This window comes from Homo sapiens, chromosome 18 (assembly GCF_000001405.40).
Source record: "Homo sapiens chromosome 18, GRCh38.p14 Primary Assembly".
Taxonomy (NCBI): domain Eukaryota; kingdom Metazoa; phylum Chordata; class Mammalia; order Primates; family Hominidae; genus Homo; species Homo sapiens.
In genome coordinates this window covers 31435464-31454094 of record NC_000018.10, presented here as the reverse complement: position 1 = coordinate 31454094, position 18631 = coordinate 31435464, and the positions used below count along the sequence as shown (strand labels likewise).

Here is an 18631-nt window from a genome sequence, read left to right as displayed (position 1 = left end):
CTTCAGATTTTTAGAGGACAGCACAGCCTTACATTATTTAGAATAGTATTTTTTTAAAAAAATTATTTTAGTTAATATTTATATAATGGCTACTTGTTTTAGTTAATTTGCTAATATAATAATTTTGGACATTTTAAAAACAATTTATGTGTTTTTATTTGTAAATCTATTTTCATTGACAAAATTGTATATATTTATCATGTACATGTTGTTTTGAGATATGTATAAACTGTGGAATGACTAAATCAAGCCAATAAATATTTACATAGTTTTCTGACGATTTGAATGAACTAAGTTGTCTCTTTTGGTGGCCTGGATTGGAAATACCAACATGGAGAAAACCTCCCTTATCTTGAGAATTACTGTACTTTTCTTTCTTTTTGTTTTCTGGTTATTTTGTAAATTTTAATTATATGATTTTTAAAGCATTGATATAGCCTTAGTGCCTTGGTATAGATATGAATTACAAATATTATCAAAAGCAAATCTAATTATTAAATTTAAAAAATATATGAAATAAAGCAATTTGATATCCATATGCTCTATTTGTTAATAAAAATGTATATGGTTGTATCACTAAGGTTCCTATTGAATATGGTATGTACACAATAAATATAATCTGAGGATATGGGTAGCTAGATTAAACAAAAAGCAAGTATAATAGCACCTGCTCTTTAGTTTGGCCGAGATCTTGTTTGGGGTTACCTCATGCTTTAGTGTGGCAGGGGACAGAACATAAGACTATGGATTAGATGCAGGTAGCTCATCCCAGCCAGGCCTAGGGCCTGACTACACTTCTGATTTCTAGAATGGGGATTCTTGGGGAAATTTGTAGAATGAATTAGATAATTCAAATAAATCAGTCCAAATTTTAAACATGATTTTGTATTTATTAAATTTTTTTGGGAAAAATGTCATGAAATATACACAGGTAAGTAATATCATTCATATTAGCATCTTTCATAATATCTCATAGCTTTCTATATATATTGAAATTTAAAATTTAAAAACTCTGAAACATTGTGATAAACTTTGTATTTATCAAAGCAAATTCCTTAATTGAACAAAGTTGATATATATCTGATTACTTGGAAATTATTTAATTGTGAAGAATTCAATTTCCAATAACTGATTTTTAGAGTAAATTCAATTAATTTAGAAAGTTAAGCCTTGTATCATGACAGAATGCTAAGAAAAATAAATATCCCTGGATATTCTTAAATGCTCATTTGAAATGCTGTGTAGGCTGCAGTCAAGTATGATAATATAAAATTGGATACTGGATTCTGAATCACTGAATTTAAATCCAACTCCCAACCATGTACTAGCATATAACTTGGGAACATTCCTTAATCTTTCAGTTTCTTCATCTGTACAATAGGAATAAAAATTAATTTTACTTACCTTATAGGTTTGTTGTGAGGATTAAATTAATAGGTGTAAAGCACATAGGTGAGCCCAGCCCAAAGTAAGTTAGTTTTATTAAATTGCCATTTAATAAAATGTTAACCAATTCTGTCACCAAACTTCAAAAGAGGCATAAAAGAGCTTTTTTTTTTTTTTTTTTTTTTTTTTTTGAGACGGAGTCTCGCTCTGTCACAAGGCTGAAGTGCAGTAGCGCCATCTCGGCTCACTGCAAGTTCTGCCTCCCGGGTTCAAGCGATTCTCCTTCCTCAGCCTCCCGAGTAGCTGGAACTACAGGTGCGCACCACCAAGCCCAGCTAATTTTTGTATTTTTAGTAGAGATGAGGCTTCACCATGTTGGCCAGGATGGTCTCAATCTCTTGACCTCGTGATCTGCCTGCCTTGGCCTCCCAAAGTGCTGGGATTACAGGCATGAGCCACCACACCCAGCCTAAAAGAGCCATTTTTATGTGAAGTGACCTGTAATTATTCACTGTCAAGGTGCATAAGATTGTTCTCTTTCTTGACCATGAGAAGGAGAAAAGAAACAGTACTCCACTGTACAATTGTGTAGGTTGCTCCTTGAGTAATGCCAGGGCACTCCTCACGCTGTAGTTTATGTGAATGCACCTCCTGGAGTTGTGCAGTGTACAACCTAGCCAGCTGCACAGCAGCTCTCCAAGAAAAAGGTGTATATTAGACAGATTCAATTATTCATCTTGTGATTATGAGTAGTAACCAAATTGTCTATGTAATTTTCTTATGGTGAACTACCCAAAGCAAGGCCTCACCTTAGGCTACCAGCTTGACTCTTAAGTGGACAGAAAGAGCCAAAGGCTAAAAGGTTTGTGAGAAACCTCATGAGCACTGAGTGTTCTAGTTCCAGATGAAAACCGGTTTCAGGTATGAAGCAAGAGGGAGTGCTAATTGGTAGAAGTAATTACATCTTTCCTGACTTCTGCCCAAGTAGGCAGGGCTGGAAGAACCATTTGGCAAGGGTATTCTGATTTTAGAATATTAACTTTTTGGGAAGTTCAGTAGGACATTTATTTTTATATATATTAGCAGTGCTGGAAACTGGGTCAATCAGGAGAAGAAGAGATATCTTAGAGATTTTTCATTTTGTTAAACATTTGGGCCATTTAGCCTAGAATTCTTTTTCTAAAGATTTTCTTTTTAGATGTTTTATAGAAAACAAAGTGGTTGAAGATAGTTGTGCTGTATTTAGAACACTTGCTAACTCAAACTTGGTATTTAAACTGCTTCTCTCTTTTTTTTCCTACCACCAACTTCTTTAAAAAAATTGTACTCTAAAAATCTTTAGATTTCAAACATCTCTATTAATTTTTAGTGAGGAAAGCTTTACCTAATATAGTAACATAAAGTTATATAGCAAATTGTCCAAATGCTCATAGCAGTGTTGGATGACAAACTGTTTCGGATTTGGTGGACTACAAAACACAATGGTTTCCTCTGAAGATAAATTTTTTTTTCAAAAGATTAAATCTCTGAAGATAAGCATTTTCAACCATGAGTCCTTTCCTCAAAAACGTTTATTTTACGTTGCATAAAATGGATCAAACAAGCACAAGAAACTGATAAATACCACATTTTTTTCAATAGTAGACAGTTATTCCCCATGCCTTCTCCTCCCAAATATAGCTTTTATTTTTTCCTGTCAATTTAAAAATTGATACGACAACTGTTTTTGATATACTTTTTAGCTCAAGACAAATGCAGGCCCTTTCTTGACTTACTAACACTGGTATCCATGGTTATTTAAGATAGTAAGACACAATGTGAAGAAGTTATCAAGAATTACCCCATTACTAAAAATAGTACAAGTGATAAAAATTAAAGGGTTTACAAATCACTTCATCTTTCTCACAGCACTTTTTAATTGTTTTGCATGCATTGCTGCTTTATTCTCACTATGACCATTTTCATTAGGCAGGGGGTGGGGTGTGATTCTTATTTGACAGTTGAGGAAACAAAGCCTGTAGTGAGTCAGTGGCATAGCCAGAGATTTAAGTCTATGACTTTGCTATTATTTCTCACTGTTCTGGGCAACCCATGTATGGTCATTGGATGGTGGATTATTACAAAACCTTCAAACACATCTGCCAACTTTCAGAACCCACCCTGCAACAACAAAAAATGAGCATTCCCACTTGAGAATGCTTTAGAAAACATTGCTTTTCCCCCCCATGACCACATTATTTCAAAACTCTGGGTGGCTCCCCACTTGTAAAAGGTTTCCATGAGCCTTCACAAAATGCACTTTTCAATCTGACCCTCAGCTGCCTTTCCAATTCATGTCCAGATTCTCCAAAGCAAACTGTCATGCTAGTCATACTGGTGTGTCCATTTCCCCTAGGCAAATCCTAACTGTGCCTGCCTTTGATTATACTCTTCTGACAACCCAAGAGATCTCCTTTTGGCCCGTCCATCTATACTTATCCCAAATCAGCTCAAATTTCACTGAATCCATAAAGACTTGATTGCCTCTCTCCTGACTGACACTGCCTTCTATCAATAGCATTAATAGTAGACCAGTACTGTCCAATAGAAAGCTAAAAACCACAAATGCGAACCACATATAATTAAAAAATTTAGTCACATTTAAAACGTTTTTAAAAGGTGAAATGCATTTTAACAATACGGTTAACTTAATCTAATACATCCAAAATACTATCATTTCAACATGTAATCAACATAAAAAATTATTGACATATTTTACATTCTTTTGTTCATTCAAAGTCTTCTTCAAATTATGATGTATATTTTATATTAAATAGCACACCTCAACTCAGACCAACCACATTTCAAGTGGCTTAAAACCACATGTGGCTGGTGGCTACCATATGGGACAGAGTAGGTCTAGACCACTCAGTTGAACAATTATGTATGAAGTTATACTGTTGTTTAAACAGCATGTGTATGTAAAATTTTCTTGAGTGGAACCAAATACATGTCATTTCATAGTTTCCTTTATGACTAGAATTATAGGGACATTGTGCGGGGGTTTTTTAGTTTAGAGAAGGCTCATTAAATCATTCATTTACTCATTCTTCAAACAATTGCATGTCCACTCTAAGACAGATATAATAAGCATTGAGAATATAAAAATAAAAATTAGCCTCAATATAAGGATGTCACAGTCACTCCAGAATCAGAGGAGTAATTGAGAGTGTCCTATATGTCAAATTAGAAAAAAAAAAGAATCCCCCTTAGCTTATGGTGGCCCAATCCTATGTCCTCATGGCAATACTATCCCGACAGCCCATGCTGCATGGCCCCTAACTTCCTGAGCTTTGCCATTGGCTTGGACATAGGGGTTATCAGACCACCTGGGGTTCAGCCCAGACATTTCCCATCTGGAAAGGTGGGAAAGTCATACAACTGTCACATTTCTCTTTAACAACATCCTCCTTTCAAATAAAATCAGGTACTGAACACAGTTACATTGTCGTAATAGAAATAGAATCTTAGAGGCTGGGTGCAGTGGCTCACATCTGCAATCCCAGCATTATGGGAGGCCGAGGTGGACGGATCCATTGAGGCTAGGAGTTTGAGACTAGACTGGTCAACATGGCAAAACCCCATCTCTACTAACAATACAAAAAAATTAGCTGGCTGTGGTGGTGCACGCCTGTAATCTCAGCTACTCAGGAGGCTGAGGCACGAGAATCACTTGAACCCCAGAGGCAGAAGTTGGAGATCGCACCACTGCACTCCAGCCTGGGCAACAGAGCCAGACCTTGTCTCAAAAACAAAAACAAAAACAAAAATCTTAGGGAGAGCTAAGAAAGTCCTTTCTTGAGATCTATCTCCCTGTGACTTCTTGAAGTCCATTTATCTCAATTTTTTTCATGAAGAAATGAGGTAAATTGATGCCTAGGCCAACCCAGCTTATCATGGAAACCATACAAATTAGCATTAGGAATTGTTTTGACATTCATTTTTAAGGTATATTTAACTATTTTGATATCTCCGTGTAACAGATAATATTGTGACTTTTCTTTTTTTTTTTTTGCTATAAGAACACAGTTAAGGAGTAAGTTAGTCTGTAACATCCAGGTTTTAAACAGTCTGTAACATTCCGTTTCTCTTTTAGATAATACTATGTACGACTTTCTCAATCAACAGAAGTATTACTTTTCTGAAAAAAATGGCTTTAAAATGTTGTATGTCTTTCCCCCCATCCCCAAAGGCTGACATTTTCTTTTGGCACATAATAGCTAAACATAAATACTTACTTAATAATCCTCCCAACTTCTCTAGAGTCAAACACTGCTTTGATTTTAATTCTGCGATTTTTTACTTTTAAAAGCGTGTCAGGTATCAAGCCCAGGCGTGTAGAGTTCTTAGCTATATGCTAAGAGACATGTAATCTTGGAAAATAGAAGTGGCTCCTGTGTTCTTGTTTGTGGGTTAGAAAAACTAGTAAAAGCATAACTTTAAAGAAAGTGAAAATGTTGTGGAAAATATAACCTGTGATTAAGATTACTTAATTCATTAACTAAAAAAAATTCTAAATGGTTTTTAAAACTCATTTCTTTCTGGTTTATTTTTCTATGTAAAATACAACATAAAAAACAACAAAAGAAGGAAATTGGTAATCTTCACGATTTCATTTCAAAGTGTTGATTTCCACTGCACTCCTTTTAGAATTTATAATAAAGATTGTGCAATCAAATATAATATTCTTTAACAAGGGAGGAAGCAGGGAAGTTTGTGATTATTAGGAAAATCCAGGACTTACCACGAAGATGGCCAGAGCCCCTGTAGTTCTGGGGAAGAGCCCCATCATTGTCTCTGATTTCCCTGGTGAAAAAGTCCAAGTGAGCCGCTGCTTCTATCCTGCCAGCCGTCTGCAGTTGATGTCTAAGAAAAGCCCTCTGCAGCGTCTCTGCTGCTTTCCGAAGGAGTCTACAGATGGTCTGTTATGCGGTCCCTCCCCACCCTAAACCAAGGGTAGGTCTCACCAGAAACGCTTGCATCACCTTTGCTCCCAGGTAAAAACTTAGCCACACCTCGATTCCTAAAGCAATGAAATCCTTTGTTGGAAGCTGAAAGAAAAGTTCACAGGCTAAAGACAAAGTTTAATAGGAAGGTACCAGATGAATAATAAATTAATCATGATGTGGAAGTGCAAAAGCTAGTCCGGACTACACTTTGTCAGTGTTGATGTCTTATGGCTGAATCTAGTTGACTATGGTTACAATGAAAACCGAAAAGCAAAGCAAAACGTACAAAATCCCCCAAAATCTAACTTGTAAAAGAGCATTTATTTTCAGCCTGAGTATGTGTGGGTAGATCTAAAGTTAAGCAAAATGTAGATGTTAAGCAATGATATATTTTATTGAAAGGCACTAAAAATATGAAGAAGAAAAACATCCCATTAAGCAACTATGAATGTAGGCTTTGAATAAAAAAAAAAAAAGAAATAAAATTGAACAGTTATATGGTGCCTTGAATATTTGAAATATATAAATAATGCGTTGCAAAATTACTCTGATAATACTCAAATGACATCTTTTATACTGTATTTCTTTTCATTTATAACTTTCAAAAAAGCCTAGATTGCCTAATAAGGTAGATTATCTTGGTGCTCTTTTCATTACTCAAGACATTTTCCCCAGTGTGGTGAACCTGCTTGCTGTTACATACTCGGAAGTGCTTAAATACTTCGACTCTAACCCAAGATAAAGCAGAGGGGAAAAATTACCAGCCCCATTTTAGCTACTTTGCTTATAACATTAGAATTTAAAGTACTTTTTACAGTTTCAGAAATATTGAAAGAAAGGTTTGGTAGAAGAGCAATTTTATCTTTGCAAGTATTACACATTAGGTTTTAGAAACCACTTAATCACAGTTTTTTTTTTGAATCGGGGTCTCGCTCTGTCGCTCAGACTGGAGAGCAGTGGCGCGATCTCGGCTCACTGCAACCTCTGCCTCCCGGGTTCAAGCAATTCTCCTGAATTGAGGAGGCTGTCTCCTGCCTCAGGCTCCCGAGTAGTACAGAAAATGAAACATTATTCTTATTTATTTATTTATTTATTTACTTACTTACTTACTTGAGACTGCGTCTCTTTGTGTTGCCCAGGCCGGAGTGCAATGGCGCGATCTCGGCTCACTGCAAGCTCCGCCTTCCGGGTTCAAGTGATTCTCCTGCCTCAGCTTCCCGAGTAGCTGAGATTACAGGCTCCCGCCAACTCGCCCGGCTAATTTTTGTAGTTTTAGTAGAGATGGGGTTTCACGTGTTAGTCAGGATGGTTTTGATCTCCTGACCTCGTGATCCTCCTGCCTCAGCTCCCAAAGTGCTGGGATTACAGGCGTGAGCCACCGCGCCAGGCCAATCACAGAGTATTTTAAGCAGAAAGGACTGTGTAGTCTAGGAGTTAGAAAAAACATCTTGTGAACAAAATTTTGTTTTTGTTTCTTTTTAAATTGTGGTAAAATATACATAACATAAAATCTATCATTTTAACTATTTTTAAGTGTACAAATCAGTGGCATTAAATATATTCACATTGTTGTGCAACCATGACCATTACCACTCTTCATTTCCAGAAAAGTCTTGGTTTTGAAATAAAGACTTTGTAAATAAAGTTTTATTGGAACACAGCCATGCCCATTTGTTCATGCATTGTGAATGGCTGCTTTTGTGTTGTAACAACAGAGTTGATATGGATAGAGACTGTATGGCCACAAAGTCAAAAATATTTTCTTGTTCTTTACAGAAAAAAAGAAAAATTGCTCATCCCTGAGTTTTACCATATATCTTAAATGGATTTGTGACAAATCTGATGAGTGTTGATGCTAATAGAGAAATAATTAGAGAACCCTTAAAATCTGCTTCCACTAGGAAAGAAAATTTCAAAAGATCAAATTTGGTGTTCTCTGTAGAGTTCCCACTAAATTCCATATATCATATTTTATGCACTTTTTGACTAAAATCAAAAAGTGAACTACTACTGAATCCTTTCCAACATGGGAAAACTGACACACAGGACAAGGTCTTTTCTGAGTTAGGAGGTAATTTCTCTGTGACTAGACTAGTTAACAAATAAATGTGATGAAATCTGAGCTGAGTACTATTGAATTTGTTAGTGATTTATATAATGTGGAATTCAGTGACCAAAATGTTGGTTACCTTTCTGAATTTAGTGTTTGAATTTGTTTAACAGTGGTGAGAGTTTGGGTTCATGTGGATGTATATGGATGCTTTTTTCTTATAATATAATGTGAGGAAATATATAAGCATGGACAAACCCCATAATATACTAGAACTTATTTTTTGAATGAGGGGATTATAGATGTATTTTTATTTTTTCTTCATTACATCTTTATATATTACATTTTCTGATTTTGTTTTTTAATGAGGATACATTGTTTCTATAATTAAAAAAGAAAGTTATTTGAAAAATAATGTGAAGAAAGCTAGACTTTATGAATAATAGCATTCTAAACTTGGAGGCAGGGAAGAAGAGACAAACAATACACTTTTAGTTTTTTTCTTTCCCATCATTTAATATATTGCAACTCTTCAGAGTGTTATTGTGATGAAGGCAAAGGAGATATTTAAAAATGATAGCCAGTGAATTATATTTGTAAGCATACCTATTAAATTGCATTGTGGACTAAATTCTAGATATGATTCACTTTGTTACGATCTGCATTTTCTAAAACTCCAGTTTGTTAACAATTTTAATTAATTAGTGCTTAAAAAGGTAATGATCATTCCACTGTTAGCTTACCTGAACACAGGTTAAGGATTTCACTGGTAATTCAGTTTTGTATTTTGAAATACCATCTAGGGATTCTTGGTTAGGTAGTATATTAAGAGCAAATGCAGACTTGATAGGAGCATCATATGGCACATTGGTCTGATGCAGGCTGGTTCCATTTCTTGTCCCTGTACAGGATGATTGTAGAAAGCAACGACAAATCTCATCGTGCTGTCCGTAGGCATTTGGGGATCTCTCATCTTTCCAAGTGCCCTTGACAGCACTCTGTTAAGCCAACACTTCCTTTCCTTTGGAAGACTGGGGACCTCAGTACGGTAATAAAGCACCCTTGCATTGGGGCCACGTTTACACGGTGTTAGGAAGGTAATCTGCAGGTTAGTCCTGCTGGGACGTGCATTTGTGTAGAGCCTCTGGACTTAGCAGTTCTTTCTCCTTTCTTCTCATTTATGTTTGGAAAAGGAAAGAAGAAAGAATTTTCCCGTGTTTTCTAGTGAGTGGTTATGTTATTATTCTCTAGATAATGTCTTTGGAAACCGAAGCCCAACCTAAAACTGGATCTTACTCAAGAGGTTGAAATAAAGATAAGAATTATCACACTATCATAATCACTGAAAGGGATCTTCATTGTGTGTGTAGATTGTGCTTCAATTAATGTGCCATGTTGAAAATATATGAGTTGGAAAGTGGGTACAACACATCACAGGTTGAAAAAGCTAAAGAAATCATTTCTGTCTTTGGTGGAAATTGTACCATGTTATATTGTCATATAAGGAGTGAAGCAGTAAGAATGAATATTTATTCCAATGGGCAGTATCTTCAGAGGTTTCCATGATGTTTCTAGAACTCATTATCTACAGAACTTTTATTGCCTGTTAAGTAGAGAATGATAATTAACTTTGCTTTCACTGGCAAGCCTTCACTGGCTTTAGTTTGTTTTGATGGGAAAGATGTAATATATCTTATATCTCAGACGTTACTACTTTTTGGTATTTAATTATTCTTGAATATCCAGAAATTCATGAATTGAGATCATAGTTCCACATATCATGCATTAACAAAATTATATATACATCTTGGGCCGGGCATGGTGGCTCACGCCTATAATCCCAGCACTTTGGGAGTCTGAGGCAGGTGGATCACCTGAGGTCAGGAGTTTGAGACCAGCCTGGCCAACATGGCGAAACCCCATCTCTACTAAAAATACAAAAAAATTAGCCGGGCGTGGTGGCTCGAGCCTGTAATCCCAGGAGGGTAATCTTGGAAGGCTGAGGCAGAAGAATCTCTTGAACCCTGGAAGCGGAGGTTTCGGTGAGCCAAGAAAGCGCCACTGCACTCCAGCCTGGGTGACAGAGCGAGACTCCGCTTCAAGAAACAAAACAAAACAAAAAAACCCAAAGTTATACATATATCTTGAAATGGCTTGCAAAAATAATGATCTATCACTTTTTGTTACTCAAAGTAATGGAAATCGTACACCTCTTCCCTTAGGATCATCATATGAAAATATCCAGAAATGTAACAAAATGCAATAATTGTGCATCCGTAGAGAACAGTCTGCACTTGAATAATTGGTAAAAGGAGCTGTTAACCCAATTTCCTTTTAGATGGTATGTAATGTGGTTCACCATGCTTCTGTGATCCCTGGAATGATTTATTTAAAAAGATTTGCAAAATTTTTATCATATGCTGATTTAAACCCAGACTTCAGAAGGGTAAATGTAGATGAACATAACTTTCTAAAAGTTTTACTTATGCTGTGGACCACAGTCAACCTCTTTTTGCTCTGAATTAGTCTGGTCAGGTAATTGCTTATTTGTGGTAGTATATTTGTAAGGTCATAAAAAGTGTGACGAAGGAGTTTTCCAAATGAACCTAATGCTCACTTTAACAAAGTGTTTCTTTTAGGAAAATCTCTTCCTCAGTTTTCATTTGTCAGAGGTACAACTGACAAGGTTTGATTTACTTGCAAAATGTATTTTGAATCCACTTTAGTTCTCTTCTCTGAGCTTCCTCATTAGCTAAATTTTTAACATCTCTCATGTAGCCTGGGCAGTGGGCTTATAACTGAGCTTTTGCTTTTTTCTCACCTCTTGTCCAGTTTGTCCCTCACTTAGCACACTGAGTGCTATTTCTAAAAAGATCACGGCTTCCACTGTGCTTGGAACAGAATAGAAACTGCCTGTCATGTCGTATAGGGAACTGCCTGACCCATTCTCCATTATCCTCTCCCGGCATATTGCACACTCCTTTTCTCTCACAGGCACATTTTTAATTCTTCCAAAGCCCTAAGCTCTTTCTGCCTCAAGTCTTCACTCAGAACCTCCCCACCATTAAGTGGTAGCTAATGAGACCTTCTCAGAGATGTCTTTATTCCCAACACTTGGGCACCCTCATCCTCATTTTAAAAAATCATTTATCCCAATTTGTTTCTTGTATAGTGCTTAGTATACATGGCATAATTTATTTCTTAGTTGGATTGCTTGTATTGCCTTTCTCCACTACATACAGTCCAAATTTTTCATAGATTGTTGTCCATAAGACTATACCAATTTATGTTCCCACCGATAACGTAAGAGAATGCCTGTCCCTCCTCCTTGTCTGTCTCCCTCCCATAAAGTTTGTTATTGGTAAATCTTGTCTGCTTCTTCTATAAGAAAAATAGCACTCATGAGAACACATACTTTAGCTCTATTTAGAAATTTAAATGTTATTTAAATATTCTAATAATTTATTAGAACATAAGAAATTAAAATAAGGTAAAGTATGTCAATAGTATATCAATCTAAGACACTAGACTTAGAACTTAGAAAGTTCTGGATCTTGGTTAGACCCAGGGAACCTGGCATCCCTCCTGGACCTAACATTGTCCTAACTCTTCCATCATCTCAGGTGATAGGATGATATGATATGAAAAGATGAGAACCAGCTATGCAAAGTCAAATATTAATTTACTACACTCTGTGGTTCTGCTATGTCCCCTTCATTTGTATATTTTACATCTTCCTTTTGATGATAAACAGCACAATTCTCAGAAGTCCTCAAGTATTTTTAAGTAACATGGGAGAGTTGGCTTCTGTTTTTCTAGTAATCAAATTGTATCGGTCTTATTGTTGGTAATTTCTGAGGAGGGAGATTTTCTTTTTTATGAGTGTTTTAATTTAGATCTCCACCCATGGGAAGAAATAACATGTAGACAGCTCCACCGGCTTCTGAAACCACATGCCTGGAGCCCTGCCTGCTAATGGAAATGTATGAAGCAGCATCTGTGTTTCTTGCCATGCCGCAGACGCCAGTCTGTAGAAGAATGGAGTCTGAAAACAGCATGGAACATTAAGGAAAAATGACCTCCAAGGATTTCAGGAATGACTGCAGTTGAGAACTACTAGCTCTACCATGATGAGGAATGGAAATGCTTCTAAAAGAGGAGGCTGTCATTCTTTATTCTTCAGAGTCAGTGCATTTTTCTACCAAAGACTCATGTATTACTGGCTTTTTACCTAATGAGGCATCATAGACTGATACTTTTATAATTAGTAAGTTCCAAGTTCGTTTGTCAAACCTGTAAAACTTGCACAACTTATTGTACTCTGTGTTTTAGTATTGGTGTTTTAAGAAGGAACTACAAAATCTCCTGAAAGATTAATTTTAGAGCGAACAGACATTTCAAGTGTCTTATTTTCTTTTTTTCTTGCATTTTTCGGGTGACAGAATAACGCTTTCATCTCAGGTGGATCTGTAGTGCTTAGGAAAGCACCAAACTTTTAGTTTACACACACGAATATTTTCTCTGCAGTTTTGGACATGTTTAACCGGCCCTCCTTTGAATAAACACAATATTCTATTCACTGACATTAAGAAGATGATTAGAATCATTACTTACCTGAATTGTTAATAAATCTGTCTCATACATTAAAATGAGGTGGCAGTCACGCCCTACTCTCCCCTTTGAGCTACGTATTCATCTCCCGAAACTGCTTGCTATTGCCACAGGCAGCTGTAAATTAACTTAATAATGCCGCACTGGACACCATAACCTGTAATCTATAGTAAGGGTGTCTAATCTTTTGGCTTCCCTGGGTCACATTGGAAGAAGTATTGTCTTGGGCTATATGTAAAATACACTAATACTAATAATAGCTGATGAGCTAAAAAGAAAATCTCATAATGTTTTAAGACAGTTTATGAATTTGTGTTGGGGCGCATTCAAAGCTGTCTTGGCCCACATGTGGCCCACGGGCCGCAAGTTGGACAAACTTATCCTATAGCTTAACAATGTATAGCTAATCATGAAGCAATATTATTTCTTTAAACCAGTGAGAATTTCTGACAAACAACTTTGTATCAGCCCATTTCTGGTCCCCATTTTTTGCCTTTACAAATCCACTTGTTGCTAACTGGAGTATATACTGAGGGCAACTTGAATCTATGCTCCTGGGTTGCAATCCTCTAGCTTAACTCAAATAAACTATCTACTTAAATTAAAAAAAAATCTGCCTTATAGAAAAATGCATTATTAGCCTATAGTTTTTTTCTTTATTGTTTCATATTAACATTTAACATTATTTCAACTCCTTTATTGAAACTTCTTAAGATTCCTATGGATTCATTCAGTCTGAATTCTAGTGTGTTTCTCAAAGCACAATCTTTGCAGCATAAATTGACGTTTTTGATCTGAGGCTGGCACAGCTGCAACATATCTGGCCTTTCTTCTGGAAGGTACGCCTGAAAGAGATTAAAGGTAGAGAAAACTCCACCTCTACTCTTCTTCATTAGCACAGCATGTCCATGAGTCAGTTTAGGCTTCCTTTTTGATGCATTAGACACTAGGCCAATTTTATGGATGTTTGTGCATGTTGCACAACTTGTGCAACGTGGTGGCTTAATGTCAGTCTTCGATGTGAAGTCAGGATGGACAGATTCTCAAAACACCTCTTTATTTCTTTAAACTCGGAAGTGATGCAATTTCTGCTAAATTGGGTTGGTCAGCTTTCATTTGAAGGAAGTGCTTTGAGCTTATGAAATTTTATCTCCAGTTACTAAGTTTTGCTATACTGAAGCTCCTTAATATTCGTTATTTATTACTGTTTTTTGAGACAGGGTCTCACTCCTGTTGCCTAGGCTGGAGTGCAGTGGCATGATCATGGCTCACTGTGGCCTAGACTTTCTGGGCTCAGGTGATTAACCCACCTTAGCCTCCCAAGTAGCTGAAAATACAAGTGCACGCCACCACACCTGGCTAATTTTTTGTATTTTTATTTATTTATTTATTTATTTTTAGTAAAGATGCCATTTTGGCATGTTTCCCAGGCTGGTCTTGAACTCCTGGGCTCAGGCTATCCACCTATCTTGACCTCACAAAGTCCTGGGATTACAGGTATGAGCTACTGTACTAGGTTGCTCCTCAATATTCAATTGATCTATTAAGGTTTTCCTTTTTGGGGCCTACATTTTGATAATTTACATTTTGTAGGAAATTATTTATATCTCAGTGTTTTCAAATTTATTATTACACATGTGCACTTAGTACTTTTCTTAGAAATTTTAAAGTAAATTTTTATAGAATAAATACACAAATGAATAACTTTTCTTTATCCTAGTAATAAGGATCTAGAGAGTGAACTGAAAAAAAGAATCTATTCACAATCTCAGTTAAAGATTGTAAAATTCTTGAAAGTTACTTTCCTAAGAATCCACAAAAGAATATTAATGAAGGACATAAAATAGGATCAAAGAAAATAGAAGGACATTATTAGATTTCTGGATGAAAAGAATTACTATTATAAAATATCAATTCCTAAAAAAATGCTTAATGCAATTCTCAGACTTTATTCATATTATAACTGGGGAATAGAGGTGGGAGAGAATGAAAAAAAATCTGGAAGTCTATATGAAAGAAAATATGTACCTAAAAGCTAATAAAAGAATAATTATGAAGAATATTGAAGAGTTTTGTCTTATCAGATATCAAAATTTACTATAAGGATACTATTATTCAAAAAGCAACTGTTAGATATAATTATAGTTTCTGAACTCACATTTCTATGTGGGAGGCTTCAGCTACAGGAAAGCTGACCTTGTTCCCCATCCCTCCTTCACTCCTGTTTTTGGATGCAGGAAGAAATCATCTGATTGGTGAGCTTGGGAGAAGAAACTAAACTTGTTTGGTTCAGCCCATTGTCCCCTTGCCCCCATGAACCCTCATCTAGGGTTTTCTCTCTTTTGAAGCCAGCCTGTTGACAAGACACATCTTGTGCTTATGCTAGCTATAAGCTCAAAGAGGCACCCTCCATCTTTCTGCCATGGTCGTGGGGGTTGTCTGTGACTGGGTGAGTAAATTCAGTTCTGAGATGAGTATTAGGATGCTCATTGTGACTGTCCATCTCAACCACATCACCCACATCTACTATGTTACAAATTATAACGCTTATATATATATTTTGTCCCTTTTCTGTACCTTATTTCTCATTTGCATCAAATATGTTGGTTCCCTAACATTTAACAGATATGTCATTATGCTAGAATAGATACATAGAATACATGAAGTATAATATTTTGCAGGTAATAAAAATAATTAATTAGAGATATACCAGGTGACTTAGAGGTATATGTACTGGGTATTGTTGAGTGAGAAGAGCATGATGTAGAATAGGGTACATAGTATTGTGTGTGTGTGTGTGTGTGTGTGTGTGTGTGTACTATATATGACTGTAAATGATTATTTGAACATAGAAAAAACTGTGAAGGATCAAGACAGGCTATTAGAGTGGGTTTTTAATGCAAGAAAACACTACTATGATGTGTTTAGCTGAGGGGAGAGGTAACTAAGCTATAAAGGAAATGGAAAAAGATTTCACTGAGAACTCTAGAATACGTATCCTAACACCACATTTATTCATCTATATCAAATTAAATACAGATTTAAAACATTAAAATTAAAAATAATGTTGTCATTGATATATTTAATATATTTCCTTTCAAAGTATTAACTATTAAGATAAAAGAACGTTTACTATTTGATGTTTAAACTATCTTGAAGAAGATGAATTTTACTATTTGATGTTTAAAACTATTTAGAAAAAGTGTTATATATATACATATGTAATTATTATTTTAGGGCTTTGTCTAGTAACAAAAATAGCATAAAAATACTGAGCTATTGGATTTCTCTGAGTCATGTGTTTTGCGTTAAATAAGAACAATGTGGTCTGAAAACACATGCATCAGCTCTGCTTGTGCTGCTGAAGGTATTGACAGAGTGATCAACTGTGTTCATTTATTTTTCATATGACTGATAGAGATGTGCACTTGAATTAAAAGAGACAGGGGCAAAAATAGGGAAGAGCCTTATTTTTACTAGCAGTTTGAAATGAAATCCCCAAAGAGCATCATTCACTACTTTGGAAATAACATTCTTATTGCTGAAGATAGAGGGAGAGAATTGCTGTCCTGACAATGGGTGTCAATAAAAAAGTGACATTACTAGAGGCACTGTGATTCAATAGCAATTTCTAGGAGCACAAAAAGTTTTCAAAAGTGATCCCAGCTGTACCACTGGAAACCCTGGCCCATAGCAGGTGGGTAGCTCCTAGCAGGTGAACGTGGAGGCTAGTTGTCTTCATCACCAAGCCCAAGCCAATGATCTAGGAGAGTCTTGTCAGCTGTGAGCCAGCATCTCTCTCTCCAATGGGTCTAATTCAAAAGGCTAACCAGGACAGGAAGTGGGGTCGCTAGGCAGTGACTTCAGGTGTGTGGCTGGATCATAAATCAAAGCAATCCTGAATTCACGCAAGCAATGCAGGAAAAAGCATGCAGCCCAAAATAGTAGGTCTCCTTTGGAAGGACTAGACTGCAAGCTCTCAGACAGCAGGGGTCAGGTCTCTCATTTGCCACTTCTCACCTGGTCCACTACTTGGCTCTCAACAGCTACTTGTTGAGTAAATAAGTGGAAGGATGAATCACTGGATGTGGGAGTAGAGATGAAGGAAACTGAATTGTGATCCTTAGCTGGGCTCCAGATGGAGCCAGTCAGATAAAAGCTAGAAGCCAGGGGTCCCCATAATCCCCGTGAGGCTATAGTCTAAAGATCATTGAGCACCCAAACACATTTTTATTTCAAGTGAGCTAGGGGGATGATGTTTACTGAATATGCTTTATATACTTAATTGTGGTGCTAAGTATTTTTAAGAATATTATTTATTTAATTATTTAATTTCCCAAATACCCTGTAAGGAATAGATTATTAACTCATTTTACAGACAAGGCAACAAACATTCAGAAATGGTGAACCCAGTAATTTATTCAAAATCACCATACTGGTAAGTGGTGTAGGTGAATATTTGAACCAGATCTGTTTGACTTCAGAGTTTATACTTTTCCCGCAACGCCAATGACTCTGAAAGGACATAACTACATAAGAGAACATTTCATAATTTGGCAGAGAGTGGCAGAGGATTTTAGTTTTTAGTTTTAGTTTTTAGTCTTTAGGTTTTAGTTTTAGTTTTTAGTCTTCATGTCTCCTTATTTGCAGACTGAAAACAAAGTAGTCTTATCTTCCATGACTTTGGTTTTTAAAAATTATGGTATTTATTGGAATTTCATATAACTACAGATTTGTATGTTTATCAAAAAGGGGTGTGGGTTTATAAAAGTTAAAAAATACTGTACTTGTGTATTTTGTGTTCATTCTCTTCTTAAACTATTTTAATCATTATTTTTGAAGTTGTATTTAAAAAATCAAGGAATTACAATATCTTAATATTTAGCCATGAGTTACTTGTTTTTTTTTTAAAAAAATTAAAGACAAATTTTTAAGAGACGTTTTTAGATTCACAGTGAAAATGAGAGGAAGGCACAGAAGATTTCCCCTATACTCCCAACCCCCCACACATATATAGCCTCCCTGATGATCGACATCCCCCACCAGATTGGTGTATTTGTTACAGTAATGAATCTACACAGACACATCATAATCACCATAGTCCGTTGTTTCCATTAGGGAACACTTGGTATTACACATTTGGTGGATTTGGACAAATGTGTAATGACACATATACACCATTATACTATCATACAGAGTATTTTCACTGCCATAAAAATGCTCTGTGCTCTGCCAATTTATTCCTCTCTCTCTCTGTAACCCCTAGCAGCCACTGACCTTTACTGTCTCCATAGTTTTGTCTTTTCCATAATACTACATAGTTGGAATCATACAGAATGTAGCCTTTTCAGATTGGCTTCTTTCACTTAGTAGTATGCGTTTATAGTGCTTAGATGTCTTTTTATGGCTTGATAGTGCATTTCTTTTTAGTGATAAATAATATTCCATTGTCTGTCTGTACCAGTTAACTTATCATTCACCTGCTGAAGAATATTTTGATTGCTTCTCAGTTGTTTTGCAATTATGAATTAAGCTGCCATAAACATCTATGTGCTGGTTTTCGTGTGGACATAAGTTTTCAACTTCTTTGAGTAGA

General features: G+C 36.0%; 1 protein-coding gene across 2 annotated transcripts in view, besides 1 other annotated feature; it reads right to left on the bottom strand.

Moving 5' to 3' along the window:
* The window catches only part of DSG3 (desmoglein 3), a 30962-nt gene extending 24608 nt beyond the window's left edge, over positions 1-6354 (bottom strand). For both annotated transcript variants that reach the window (NM_001944.3, XM_011525850.3), the window contains exon 1: positions 6170-6354. In NM_001944.3, the coding sequence (NP_001935.2) occupies positions 6170-6217 (48 nt within the window). In that variant the 5' untranslated portion in view covers positions 6218-6354. The remainder of the gene's footprint in view (positions 1-6169) is intronic.
* Positions 15485-15564: a silencer, noted in NCBI's record as "silent region_9383". NCBI's record gives its function as "represses an Ori minimal core promoter by ATAC-STARR-seq in GM12878 lymphoblastoid cells {active_cell/tissue: GM12878}" and the evidence as "EXISTENCE:reporter gene assay evidence [ECO:0000049][PMID:35858748]".